General features: G+C 55.5%; 1 protein-coding gene and 1 long non-coding RNA gene across 33 annotated transcripts in view; one reads left to right on the forward strand and one right to left on the reverse strand.

Moving 5' to 3' along the window:
* The window catches only part of LOC105376956 (uncharacterized), a 66,549-nt gene that overhangs the window by 19,888 nt on the left and 32,865 nt on the right, over positions 1–13,796 (forward strand). The gene's annotated exons all lie outside the window — the stretch shown is intronic.
* The window catches only part of IQSEC1 (IQ motif and Sec7 domain ArfGEF 1), a 386,215-nt gene continuing 373,230 nt past the window's right edge, over positions 812–13,796 (reverse strand). For 17 of the 32 annotated variants that reach the window (XM_047449340.1, XM_047449339.1, NM_001376938.2 and 14 more), the window contains 4 exons: positions 13,042–13,203; positions 12,118–12,294; positions 6,542–6,591; positions 812–5,291 (listed from right to left, as the gene is read on the reverse strand). In XM_047449340.1, the coding sequence (XP_047305296.1) occupies positions 4,752–5,291; positions 6,542–6,591; positions 12,118–12,294; positions 13,042–13,203 (929 nt within the window). In that variant the 3' untranslated portion in view covers positions 812–4,751. The remainder of the gene's footprint in view (positions 5,292–6,541; positions 6,592–12,117; positions 12,295–13,041; positions 13,204–13,796) is intronic. The other 15 variants (XM_047449348.1, XM_047449347.1, XM_047449346.1 and 12 more) reach the window with 3 other exon arrangements.

Raw genomic sequence — 13,796 nt, forward strand, 5'->3', positions numbered from 1 at the left:
AGGCGGATCATGCAGCTCACAATCTCAGGGCAGGGGGAGACAAACACAATCCCCAGAAGATCACCGCCTCGGAGCCCTGGCCTAGCTCACCTACCTCCAGCAGCTCCTGGGCTGTAGATCTGCGTAGTAAAAATCAAACCCTGAGGCAGAACCGGGTATTTCAGGGAATTTTTGTACCCAGCTTCTCTTGAAGGGCCCCTGAATAGTCTGTAAAAGGGATGGACGCCCAGTTGCAGAAACAGGCATTGTGCAAGGCACTTGTGTGTGTGCACTGAAATGGCTGGTTTCCTGGTTTCAGTCTAGATGAGCCAGTAGTGGCTATGAATGAGACTGGAAGAGGGGGCCCCTGTGAGAACATCTTTCAATCAGAATGTGCTGTACGGAGGGAGGGCCAGAGTTCATTTTGGTCACCAAAATTAACTTTTTTTTGTTTGGTTTTCCACTAGTTAGATCTGCCAGTTCCTTTTATCCCATGCACTGAAAGTTTAAAGTGGTGTTCTCAGGAATTATGTTTGGCCAGGAAAGGAGAAATCGCAGAAGCCAATTACATCCTCACAGGCCCCTTCCTTCCAGGAGAATGACTTTACCATCTTGGCTTTTGTACATGATATGAGCCAACATGGAAACGCAGGCTGCTCTGAACTCCTGTCATCATCCATCTTTACTGGGGACTGGGCCACTGGGTATTTTTTTCCCTAAGTCATAATCAGTGTACCTCAACGCTTAATAGAATTCATCCCCTCTAACTCCATGAAAGGACCATCACTTGTTGAAAGTTGCTAGAAATTATAAATACCTTTGAAACCTTCTATTGGTTGTGATGTGTCCCTTTATTTTAAATTTTGTATCAGTGTCCTCAGTCAGTCCAATGTCTTCAAGGAAAGTGAGTGCCCAGAGTCACAACAAGTAATGGGGAAACTCATCAGCTGGAGATCTGGGTCTGGCCAACAGGGCAACTTCTGGACTTTTCAGAAAAAGTGAGAATCCGAGAGTTTCAAAGGATTTATTTGATTTCCCCACATGATCACAACCATGGTTTTACATTGATAGAGTCTGTTGCCACTGACAAACAGAATGCAGATGAAAACAAACGCACTCCTTTCCTCTCAAAGGTACACAGTGGGGGTGCCAGGCTTCTTGTGAGGGAGGTGTCCCTTGAAGTCTCTGAACAGTCTGGGGATTCAGGACCTGATTCTAATTGCTTAAAACAACTCGGAGGCAAAAGATATTTTCCAAGAGGAGATGCATGCTGTGTGCAGTCTCGATGTGACTGCACACAGAAGGGCGATGCAGATGCATCTGAATGGAGGGCAGGCCTCCTCCCTCTTGTCCTGTGCTCAGCACCCCCACCTCACCCTGCTCAGTGTTGCAATGCTGCCTTGACTATTGTTGTTACATAAAATACAAATGTACTCGTTTCTCAGGCAGGAAGGGTGATGATATTTTACAAGGAGAACTGTAAGACTGTGCGTGCTTACCTGCGGGCACAGAGCTTCCCGTGGCGCTGAGTCAACACCCAGCATCAGCTGTGAACATCTGCTGTCTTTTCAGCTCATTAAGAAAAACAAGAGGCTCCTGCTGCATGCAGTGTGTGAGGGAAAGATCACTGCACTGGGTGCTGAAGACATTTTTAAGCAAGATGTGCACAGCATATTAGGATGAACTTTATTTTTACATTGTTGTACAATTCATTGGTAAACTTAAAAAAATACAAATACATGATTTGATTGTTGTCCCAGAAAAGACTTTTGTCACATTGCCAGCTGTTTCCCTCAGCGTCTCCTGCTCCTGTCAGCAATTCTGTATGTAACTGCAGTAATTTGTGTGACTTGAGAAAGGTGTGCCAAGGGCGTCCTCACAGTGAGAAGGGACCAGGCAGACATCCTGGGGCCCTCGGCCTCCTCCTGCCTCCCCTCCCAGGGGATGTGATGACAGGACCCCGAAGCTGTGGCTCTGACAGGTGGGATCTCTAAAGGGGACAGTCCCATGAAAGACACACGGGGACACCAGCTCACTGGGAGCTTTTGCTTTCCCAAACAAGATGTGGGCAGCATGACTCCAGCCTCTGGAACCCAACAATGTATCTTCCACAAACTTTTGATAAGCTTGCAAATAAAACAGAATGAAACCTCACTAGCCTGAAGGAACACACTGAGTGCGGCGGGAAACCCCGGGAAGGGCTCAGTGGGTTCCAGCAGTTCCTTACGCGAGGCCCTGCTGCCCAGCACAGCTCCAGGACACACCGAGGACAGTGCCACAGGCTGGCAGCCCGAGGCTGTGGAGCTTGCAGGATGGCGATGGAGAGGGAGAGTTTCCTGAAAGCCCCTCCTGGGGTTTTCTGTCTGTTCCTATTCATTACTGCTACCCTTCAGAAAGAGCAATTCTGTGCCAAACGGCCTGAATCTTTTCTGGAACAACCTAAAGGTTACAGTTAGACTCTCCTCCCAGCACAGAAGAGGGTGAGAAAAGCTGACATACTCAATATGTAATCGCTTTACTTCAACGATGTGTTTACAGTCACGCCAATACATTTTGCAAACGCACAACACGCAGAGCGCAGCCTCACAGCTGACGCCAGATGACATGCAGCAGTTTAACGCTTCCAGGTCGGAACAGCCTCCTCAAAATTGCGAGACAGAGTGCTTTGGGGAGCCTGGCTTTTAAAAAAGACCCGAGAATTGATGAGTCGGAGACACCAGGGCGCTTCCCTGACAGCCCAGCCTGGACCCAATCACACGGTCCCATGCTGTTTCTTTCTGAGCAGACACCAAAGAAATGCCACGCCAATGGGAGGACACAGGTGGGCGGGTTAAAGTCACATTTTTAAAAAGGCTAAACTCTAGATTGCTGTATTTGCTCTCTCTGGAGATTAACAAAGTGCTTGGTTTGCAGATTTGCTGGTACGGTGATCTCAATGATATGACCGAGGGTGGGAGGGATGTGAGGAGGGAAATCGGCAAAACCCTGGCCAGCCAGCCAGCCAAGGTGACACACAGCCAGAGGGGGCTCCCCTCTCCTCCTGCCGTCCGGCCACGGCTCACCACGCTGTCCACTGGGAACGCGGCCCCGCGGCCCGCAGAGTCAGGCGTGAGCTTCGCCCTTTCTGAAAGGGCCTCCGCCTGGGCAGGCGCCGGGGGGCAGTCCTCGGGTCCCATGGCTTAGGAGCACAGCACTGACGGCTGCAGTGGCTCGAAAGGCTGAAACTACAAAGTATGGCCCGTGGGTGACTCGGGCACAGACCTGCCGCGTGCAGGTCTGGCCCTGGGGAGCGCATGGTGTCACCACAACACAGAAGCGACAAGAGCACAGCTGAGAGTCATGTGATGCCCTGGCAGCTCACTGGACCATGGGAAGGCAGCGGGGGCTCCGCCGGGCACTCGTCGGCTGGGGTCACACGGGCCACGGTGAGGACACAGGGGTTCTGCTAGCACATGGCTACATGGAATTACGGTGATCACTGCTACCACTCAGAAAACAAAACGGGAAACACACACACCGCCCTGGGTTGCTAAACGCTAAAGTCAACCTTCAGGTTCGAGAGTGGTTCCTGATGAAAACACTCTCTGAGGGCTTCGGCCTGGTGTGGGTTGGAGGCGGGATGAGGACGTTATGGTGTTGGGGAGACGAGGATGAGAGCTGGTCACTTTCATGTTGGAGATGAACACTTCTGCCGTGTATGGGTGCCCCTCTCGGAGGACTCTGAATGAGTGTGCGTCAAATCATATGCGCATAAAAGAAACATGGATCATGGAGAGTCACAGTTATCGCAGCCATTAAAGTGTCTAAGAATCCGTGTAACCAATGTCCTAAGACAACCAGCTTGTAACCAGCTGTCCTGAGTTGCTACTGTAGAGTGTACTGCAGTTTAGCTATTTGCTTACCTGAAATAACAGCATTATAATACTATTTATGATAGTATTCTGTTAATAAAATAAGGATTTATACAAAGCAATACTGGACTTTTTAAACAGTTAGATGCTATGTTACTTGGCACAGTTAGTAATGATTGTGTAAAGATTTTAGCCAGTCCTAGAGGGACTTCTTTGTATGAAAATATGAAGTATCTGAATTTGTTCCTAGCATTTAGGGTTTGGTCTATTGTCTCACACACCCAGCTAAGGTACTGTCTTCCTATTAGGTAAGTGGAGCTCCTTGTAAGGTGGGTATTGCTAATGTGGACTGAAACGCCTGCCTTTCACACACAAGTACTACCTATACAGTATATATATATATATATTTATATATTTATATATTTATATAAAGTTTACTTACGTATTTTCATCAACCATATCAGGTCTACTTATTTTTTTGCCCATTGTCAATAAAAGAGCAATAATGCAGCAAGTTTTGGGGTTTGTTTTGTCTGTTTTTGTATCTCATTTCTTCGTTTTCTAGGTTGGGTTTTCATATGCATGTACATTAGGGCACAGGGAGCTGAGAGCTGGAGTGGGGGAGGCAGTTCAACACTACTTGGCTGGCTCACCGTTTCAAGGCTGATGGTGTCTGAGGCCCACCCATCCCTCAGACTGAGGTGAGCAGAGCCCAGGGTGCCAACAAGAAATGAAATCTGGGCCTTTGTTCCACACAACACCAGCCCTGTGGGCTCCTGGGGCTCCGGTTGGGCCGTGAGGGGCAGAGGGGAGAGATGGCAACAGAAGTGCCCCGGGTTTGGTGTGCGGCTGGCGACCCCCGGGCGTGCCCTGTGTGGTGTGCAGGTGTTTCAGGGAGCCTGGGACCCCTACCCAGGCTGTCTACACAATTGTGCTGATGCCGCTGGGTTTGGCCTTGCTGCTGGTGGGGGGCGGCGGGGCAGGGGGCTGCCCATGGTGGTGCACTGTGTGCCCCACGTGGGCCGAGGGCAGCGGCGGGTGGCCGTGGGCATGGGCCCCGTAGGCTGGGTGGCCCCCATGGGGGCCGTGGTGGTACTGGTGTGCGTGCTGGATGTGCTGGGGTGGGTGGTGGTGGTGGTGATGGTGGTACGGGGGAGGGTTCTGCATGTGGCAGTACTGGGTGTGATGCCCGTGCATGGCGGCCTGCGGCAGCCCCTCTGGGGGCCCCAGGTGGTGGCCAGCCACAGAGTGCTGCAAGTGAGGCAGGACCACCGGTGGGTGGGGGGGTGGCAGGGCTGGGGCTGAGGGCAGGTGGGCCTGGGGAGGGGGCTTCCCTCTCTTGCTCCCGAATAAGGAGCCCAGGAGGGAAGATGAGTTGGGCATAGTCTGGTGTGGGCGAGATGGACACTCTCGTGTTGATGTAGCTCTCCGGCGCATGTGAGGACTGCTAATGATGGACCCCTAAAAAGGAAATTCATAGAAATCAAAATTAAAAGATCTTCAAGCACTTAGGTCAGAATGATTTTTTTTTTTCAAATGTAAAAATTCACCCACTGACTGCTAAGCTTTAGTTCAACTCACTGGCCAGAGGGTGGGGCTCAGTGAGGCTGGACTGGGCCCCGCCTCCTCTCACTACAGTGCAGGGCAGCTGGGGGTTACTGGCCTTGACCAAAGTGGGGAGTGAGGGCAGGGGAGGGGCCCATCTCTCTGACCACCACGGCAGAAGTAGGACTTCTGGTCTCATTCTGACAAGCACTTTGGCCCTGGCAGCAGCCTGAGATTTCAAATTGGAACCCCTAGGTTGGGGTGTCTGTGCGCTGTGTGTGGCGAGTGCAGAGGGGCTGATGTGCCTGGAGGAGGAGCCCTGCTCCTGCTGAAAACAGGGCCCTCAGCTCTCCTGGGACTGCTCAACTGGGCTGAGGGCATGTGCTCCGCCCATGTGGGTCCTGAGGTCTCGGGGGAGGTGGTGACAGGGACAGGTGGGGCTCAGAAACCTTGTCCTCTGGGAGAATGGGCTGCCTAGGCATTTCACTACAGCTGCCTACTACAAACCAAACAAGGAAAAAGAAGGTAACAGAAAAAGATCTGCAAGCTGAGGTAGAGATGTGAACAGTAATACAGAGATGGCCGGAGGATGAGTGAAATATCATGAAATCCACACTGAATCTCTTTCTCTCAAGACACTCCTCCTCCCACAAGCTAAGCAATTCCATGGTGTCCTGCCGCAGACACACAGCAATCAAACTCCAAGAAGAAAGCGATGAGGATGGGCGGGCGTGGAAGTCAAGGGTTCAGCAAAAACATCCAACAGCAAGTGTGGAGGGTGAGTGGGAGCCGGGTGGCCCGGGCGGGGGTGCCGGAAGCTGGGGATGGTCAACCATGCTCAGGGACCACAGGTGATGGGGTTAAGCAGAAACCAAAACACAAAATCCAGAACCACCCCCACTGTTGAGTCCAAAACAAGCGGTGAGAGGCATGGATATTTCTAGGCACAGAGGAGAAGCTGACATGCACAGGGTTCCAGGCAGGCAGGGGCAGGGAGTGGGTGTCTGCATCTCTGTGCAGTAGGGGAAGGAAAAGCCAAAAAAAAAAACAACAAAAAAAAAACCAAAAAAAAAAAAAAAAAAAAAAAACCAGGACAACAGATATGAACTGAGGACTGGGGAAGGCGACACAGGACAGCCAGCTGGACAGAGGCGCTTCCTACTTACTTCCACATTGCTCTCTAGCGATCCCGCACTGCTGCGACGCCCTCGCTTCCCTGCCCAGAACATGCAATACCAGAAGTTAGACGCGGACATGAGGCTGGGGGTGCTGCCTGCCTGGTGCCACGCTGCTGCCACGGAGCCTGCACCCCTGCTGGGAGCAGGCACAGGTGCCGGGCCCACCTGCCCGCAGGAGCCAGGTGTGAGGGGTCGGAGGAGGGGCTCAGTGGGGAAGCCAGCAGCAGTGCAAGAATGAATTTTAAAAATAAAGTTTTCGAAAAGCAAAAAAAAAATTCTTTTTTAAACCAGCCCCAATTTTGTACTCCTCCTGGACCAGGAGTCTGTTGAGAGGGACCCTGGGGCTGAGGCATGTGTACAGGTGGGCCTGACGCCCCCAACTTGTGTGTTCACCCCTGACTCGGGTGAATGGGGAGGGGTGAGGGCAGCTTCCACATAGCTGCAAACAGCATGGCAGGTACTGCATGCCTACCTTCAGTGATTGCCATATATATGTGTATATCCGCACACACACATATATGCCCCCACCTCCTTGGCAGGACGAGCACTGAGGGTGAAGAGGAAACAACTTCACATCCCCGCTTCCTCCCAGCTGCCCGCAGGAGCTCAGTTTTGGTTTGTGCAGTGCCCTGGCCAGGGGCAGGAGACAGGGTTGGGGACTGCCGGAAACCGCCTTCCAGCTTGGGATTCCTCTGCTTGGTACCACCCCCCAAAGGGGCCACAAAGCCTTCCCTAAGCCAGGAGGTCTCTGCCAGCATCTTCGTCACGCCCCAGCGCAGAGCACACAGTAGGCACTCGGCATGCGGGGTCCGTCAGAGCAAGGCCAGGTCTTCCTCTTGGCTCTGGGTGCGTAGGGCCCAGGCCCGGCCTGGCCCCGCCCAGCCTCCACAGTCCCTCCTGAGGACTTCTCCGTGGATTTTTTGAGGAACACCAAGCCTGGAGCATGACGGGCCCAGCTCTCTGGGAGTGGGGATGGGAAGAGGGAGAGAGAAACAGTCCTCCCCACTTGACACTCTAGAAGCTTCCATCTGGGCAGCATCACCATGTATTGAGCGCTGCGCTGGACATGTCAACCCTATAGGCGCCACTGTGTCCATATCAGAGAGAGGAACACTGAGGCCCAATTCTCACAGGCAGCAGGGTTCACACCCAGACCTGCTCACCCGACCGCCTCTAAGGCTGGATAACTTGGCCATGCTGCCTTCAGAGCTGGACCCTAGGCCGGGTTGGGCCCAGGAGCCTGGAAGAAGGAAGCAACTGCTGGGCCTCCCCACTGTGCCCCGTCCCCAGCCTCTGGGAAAGCTACTGCACCTCCCAGCTAGCCCAAGGCCACCAGCCAGTGACAGGTGGAGGAAGTGCTGTGGGCTTCGAGCCTCCCCGTGCCATCTGAATGTGCTGGGCTGTGCCTTGGCATGGCTTCGGCCTGGGCATCACAGCACAGACTCAGGGGAGTCCAGTTCCTCTGCCTTGTCTGCTGACCCCAAACCAGAGGTCCAGGTGGGAGTTGGGGTCAGCAAAGGGCTTTGGGTGGCTCTGGCTTGTGTGACGTGGCCCTCAGAGACCACTACTGGGAAAGGGCCACACGGCACATCAGGGCAAGAGGGCTCAACACCAGTTGCTGAAGACTAGGACAGCCAAGTAGAACCTTGGCCCTAATTCTCAGCCGGAAGTAAGAGGAGGCTCACATTTCCTTATTTTTCAGCCAGTGTGGGAAGAAGGGCTGACCTTTCTTCCCTTCCTGCCCAACACAGTGGTCCAGGGACATGGAGCAAAGTAGAGTCCAGCCTCCCAGGACATGGCCTCCCTCCTCCACCCCCCTCTTGGGTGGCCACGGCCATCAGACACTCAGGACATTGTGGCGCCATGTGGAAATGTGGAGGGACAGAGCGCCAATGTCTCTAGGTTTTCAAATCAGCTCTCTAGCCTACCCCTAACGCCTGGGACTCCTCTGGCTGACTAAAAACCAGGGCCAGAGGGGAGATGGCCTCCCCGTCTGTAACCGGCAACTCCTTCTGGCTGGCCTATAGCTTCTGACAGGACCTGGGCCAGCCCTGAAGGCTGGGGTTGGGGGTCCACATAGTGTCCCCACCTGGAGTTGAACATGGCCCTCCTTACCCTGCCCAACTTGGGTGAACACTTAGGAGTTCCTTACTTGGCTGTTTTGGAGTGACGCTGAGTGTCTTACAATCTACTTTCTCAATGTCTCAGGTCAGCAAGAGATGCAGGGTGACCCCAGGGCTCCCTCTGTGCTGAGTCCTAGAGCCCTGTGCTCACAGGTACACCCACAACCATAACTGCCCACAGCCAGCCGTGCAGATATCCCATGCGTACGCAGCCTCCCACACCTGCCCTGGTTCACCGGCTGATGAAGTCAGGCAGGCCAGAATAGTGGCTCACACCACACACGTGCTGATCAGGCCAAGCCAGCCCTGGGCAGAGCCTGGAGGGACTTGGAACCATTTTTCTTGAAGGGCTCCCAGGATGATTCTTCACAACCTTTTCAGCTTCCTCAGAGTCAGGGCAGGGCGTAACGTGGCAGTGCTCTCCTGCCCACCCAGGATCCTCGTCCTGTGACCCTCAACAATGCTGTGGTTGGGCTGGTGGCCTTGCTCAGTGTCAGTGACCATAACAGAAATGATAGCTATGCACACTCGGCCGGCGCTGCCTGAGCCAGGCATGCCTGAAAGGCTTTCCATGCATCGACTCCTTCGCTGCAGCTGGGGAAACGGGCCCACAGGGTCTGACCGCTAGAGAGGGCAGGCGGAGGTGGGGGATGAGCTCAGGCTGTCTGATTCTGGCATCTGCGTGCTGCACCATGTTCTCTGCTGGGCCTGACATGGTGGGGAGGGATGTGGCCAGGGCAAGAGGAAGCACCACCCTCTCTGGGCCCTGGCCTGCTTCACACGTGGCAGGGGCGCTTCTCTGTCCACCCACCACTGGTGCCTGTCACTGCTCCCCTGTAACGGGACATGGAGACTGCTGCAGGCAGGTCCTCTCCGTAAGGACTCAGAGCTGGGCAGCTTGGCCAGGGAGGGGCAGGAGGGCCGCTGGGGGCCACTGGTCAGTGTCCATCACCACTTGGCTGAACCCTGTTTCCACAGTCCTTGCTGGGTCCTTGGTCTTGGGTCAGCAGGACTCTTGTGCCGCTGGAATGAGCACCGGGTGGGGAGTCTTAGCCCAAGGGAGACCAGGGCTGAGACGCCAGGCAATGCACTGCAGTGGGGCCGGCGCCAGCCCCCTTCCCTCTAACTCTTGGCACAACAGAGGCTTCTGCAGTCTCCTGAGGATGGGTTCCTTCAGGCACCATCTACGGCCACTTCATCAGTCCCCTGGCTTCATGTCTGTGGTATGTCCTCCTTTGGATGGATGTCGAGTGCAGACCTGGGACAGCTGCTCTCAGGGTCTCCTGCCCCAGGAGCAGTGACGTGTCAAACATGGAGGGGACACTGTCCGCAGGCTCACCTCTTCCACAAGCTCATCGTGGTGTTTCAGGCTCAGTGCTGTGAGGGCCGTGGTGAGTGAGGTGGGGCCATGCTGCCGCTGGGGAGCTTGCAGCCCCCATCTGGTCCAGAGCACATCTGACCTTTCCTGCTGCCAGCCCTGCCCCTCCCCAGGAAGGCTGCCAGCACCTGCCTGTCCCGATGGGAGATCACAGGTGGCCTCTCCCCAGCCTGGGGCCTCGGCAGCTGCCTGGACTCAAACCCCACCTCGCTTCACCCCCAAACCTTTCGGGGTACAGGGGGGTCCCTGAGATCTGTTCCTCCTTTTGTTTCAATGGCAGGCCCAGGGTGGGGTCTCAGTCCCTATTGTCCGTCTGAGCTCAGAATTCCCAAATGACAACAGCAATCGTCACACTACATGAAAGCAGCTGGCCGTGGGCCCACCCCTCACACGAACCTGGGGCCGGCACGTGGCTGTCCAACCCCCAAGCTCTGGCAGAGGGTGGACAGCTGAGGTCCTGACTGCTGGGCCCTGGGGCGGATGGCGCTCAAGGGCCTCGGTTCTGGCAGAACTGCTGCTGCCTGAGAGGGGCTAAGGGAAGGGAGAGGGCAGGGCCTGTCACACTGCACAAACTCAAACGGAGGCTCTAGCCCACAGCCTGCAGAGGCCCAAAGCAGTCCAGTGACATTTAGCTGTGTTTCACAAGGCCACTGGGGAAACCAGTGGTTCTCAACCAGGGATGATTCTGTCCCCCAGGGGATACCTGGCAATTTCTGGAGACATCAGTGACTGTCATGACAGGGAAGATATTACTGGCAACCAGTAGTAGAGGCCAGGAATGCGAGTAAACATCTTGCCAAGCCCGGGACGGTCCCCCAGCAAGGAGTCACTTGGCCCAAAATGTCAATCAAGCCGAGGTTGAGAAGCCCTGGGTTCAACCCTCATGCTGGCAACTGGCAATGAATTTCTGATTTTTTTACCATGGCAAATAATAATAATAATGACAAAACGAAAACAAAGGAAAAAATCCAACTTAAAGGGCAGACTCCAAAGGGCCTGAGAGGGACTAAGCTGAGGGGAGGCAAGGCTGCTGACGGGCAGGTGCGGGAGGGAGTCCTAAGGTGGGGCAGGTGGGGCAGGCAACCCCAGGAATGGGGGGGTCTTCCCAAAACAGGCACACCAGGCTCCTGGGGCAGACCTGCGTGGGACAAGCTGGGCCACTGCAGCCCCAGGCAGTCCCCGGGGCCCCTCCTGGGAGAAGCTCGCTGACTGGTGGACAGACTGTTCGGCGGAGGGCGGCTACGATACCCTCCCGTACACTCCTTGAGCAGCAACACAGCCTGCAGCGGCACGAGCCGGCACCCACCGGTCGGCCAGTGCCTCTTTTCTCTCCTGCCCCACAAGGGAGAGCCTGGGCCACAGCTGCTGGCAAAAGCCCCTGAGCCTTGCTGCTCCCGGTGCCCCACTCCCAGGAATGTAGGCAGTTTCAGGGGTGCTGCTTGCTTGGGGGTTAAACAGCTGGCAGCAAATTAAACACACACAGAAACAAAGAAACAACCACAACATCACAGTTCCCACCAGGGCTTTCCCGGACCCCGGAGCCAGCCCTGGCTGCTGCTCAATGGCCTCTGGGCTGGACGAGGCCCGGGTTTCCCAGGAGAGGAGGCCCCGCAGGGAAAGCAAGACCGGGGACAGTGGGCAAGGGGGCGCCAGACAGATTAGAGGGTTCCGCGCAAGTTCATTCATCAGCATGAAGCACAGGGACGCGGCCGCACAGAGAGCACGGGACACAGCCGCCGGCTCACTCGGGCTAGAGCGACTTCCCAGATCAATAAACAAGTAAATAAAACCCCTGGAAGAAGAAAGGGAAAATGGGGGTGACTTCCCCAGCTAATTCGTGTGCAATGCCTTTCTTTTTGACGTTTGGGTCCTGTTTCCCTGTGTCTTTTTGGGGCGCCCTTTCTGTATGTCACACGCTGCTCTGCTTTGCGGAAGGTCAGGGGAAATGCCGCACTGGCTTCGCCGCAGGCCCTGCCCCGCGTGATGCATGCCCTGAATGCAGACGCCCTGCCTCGGTCTTGCATGCGCTGGGCTAGCAAGGTGGTTCTAGGCCAAGCTCTTACCGGCTTCCGAGAGGTCCCGCAGGGAGCTGCTGAGGGCGCTGCGCTTGAGGCCCTCACCGCTGGCATAGCTGTCGTCCAGGCAGGCCCGGCTCAGTGTTCCGTTGCCCGACTCCTTTTTGAGGCTAGAGCACTGGGACATGCTGGGCCGCACGACGCCTTTCTGCTTCTCGAGCTCCGCTGGAACAGAGAGGGTGAGGGTCCTGGTGAGAGGAGCACAGCCTAGAGTGGGCAGGAGACGGGGCCTTCTGCTTGGAGCTAGCACTGTCCTGAGCCACCATCTGCTTGGAATGGGGAAGGGTTGTTTCTGGGAAAGAGGGTGTGATGGCCACCCTGGACAAAAGAGCAGAAAGGAGATCCCAGGAGGGAGGCTAGAGAGACCAGAGGGCCTTGTGACCTGCAGGAAGGATAGTCACCTTCCAGGCTCGGGAGTGGACAGGGAGGCACAGACTTGCCTGGGTCTGAGAGATGAGCAAAGATTAGCCAGGGTCTTCCACAGAGAGGGCAGTGGTAGGGAGTCCCATGTGCCTCCAAGGAGTAGACCTGGAGCCAGGGAGTAGACCTGGAGCCAGGGATGGCCTTGGCTGTGTGACCCATCAGTCGGTTGAGCCTGATGCAGAAGATGACGAGGTGCAGAGAGGCCAGCTGGGAACTCTGCGGGCTCTTGCGCACGGGATGACCAGAGAGCCAGGGTCTTTTGATGGACATACAACAGGCAACAGGTAGGGCGGGTCCTGGATTGGACTCCCTCTGTGCCTCCTGCAGCCTGGGAACACAGACTGCCCCATCATGTGGCCATAGGGAAGGCCAGAAAAGACTGGGGGACATCTTGTCTCTGTGAGCTCAGAAGTCACTGCCCTGACATGGGGAGGCAAGTGCCAGAGTCTGGCAAGTCTCGGCCTTCTGTCCATGAGGCCTGGTACTCACACTCTATCCTGTGCTTCTCCATCTCTTGGACTTCCGCAATGGACTCCCGCAGGTCATCGGTGAATTTCTTCCGGTCTTGAGGGTTGGGGGCGTTGAAGTTTATTAACACTTTGATATCTGCTCCGGGGACAGACGAGGTGAGCCGGATGCCATTGGGGTAGTCTGCAAAAGGGAAGGAGAGGGGAGGAGGCCCACGGGTCTCAGTGTGTTCTCTGCAATCTCCTCTCTGGTCAGGAAACAATGGTAGGGCTGAGTTGTGCGTGAGCCTGGGATAAGTGCCGGGAGTCCAGCCTCCGCAGTGGCAGGCTGCAGGGGTGCAGAGCAACCTCATCTCCCGACTTGGGAAAGATGGTCTGTGTCGCTCCACATGTGACTCAGGGACAAAAGTGGTCGAGCTCAGGGGAGGCTGCTGGGGCCGCGTCCTGGAGGAGGACAGAGGTTGCGTCCTGAGAAAGGTGGGAGTCTTCTCTAGTCATCTCAGTTCTGGACAGCAGTGAGCGCCATATTCTCCCGAATGGCCTGTGGCCCACAGCTCCCATGGGGTGCACTATGGGCACTCCACAGCCAAGGAACCCTGTGCCCAGACCTGCCTGGTGCCACCTCCGGGCTCTCAGGGTCCCTGGGGCTTTGGTCTCCTGGCGGTGCTGCTCCGGCAGTGGGAGTCACTGGCAGAGCATCAGCCACTGGATGTTTGAAGGTTCTTGGACCAAGTACCAATCCCACCTTGGCTCAGACCAGGTGGGCCTGTGGGCAGC

The sequence above is a fragment of the Homo sapiens genome, chromosome 3 (assembly GCF_000001405.40).
Source record: "Homo sapiens chromosome 3, GRCh38.p14 Primary Assembly".
Lineage (NCBI taxonomy): Eukaryota > Metazoa > Chordata > Mammalia > Primates > Hominidae > Homo > Homo sapiens.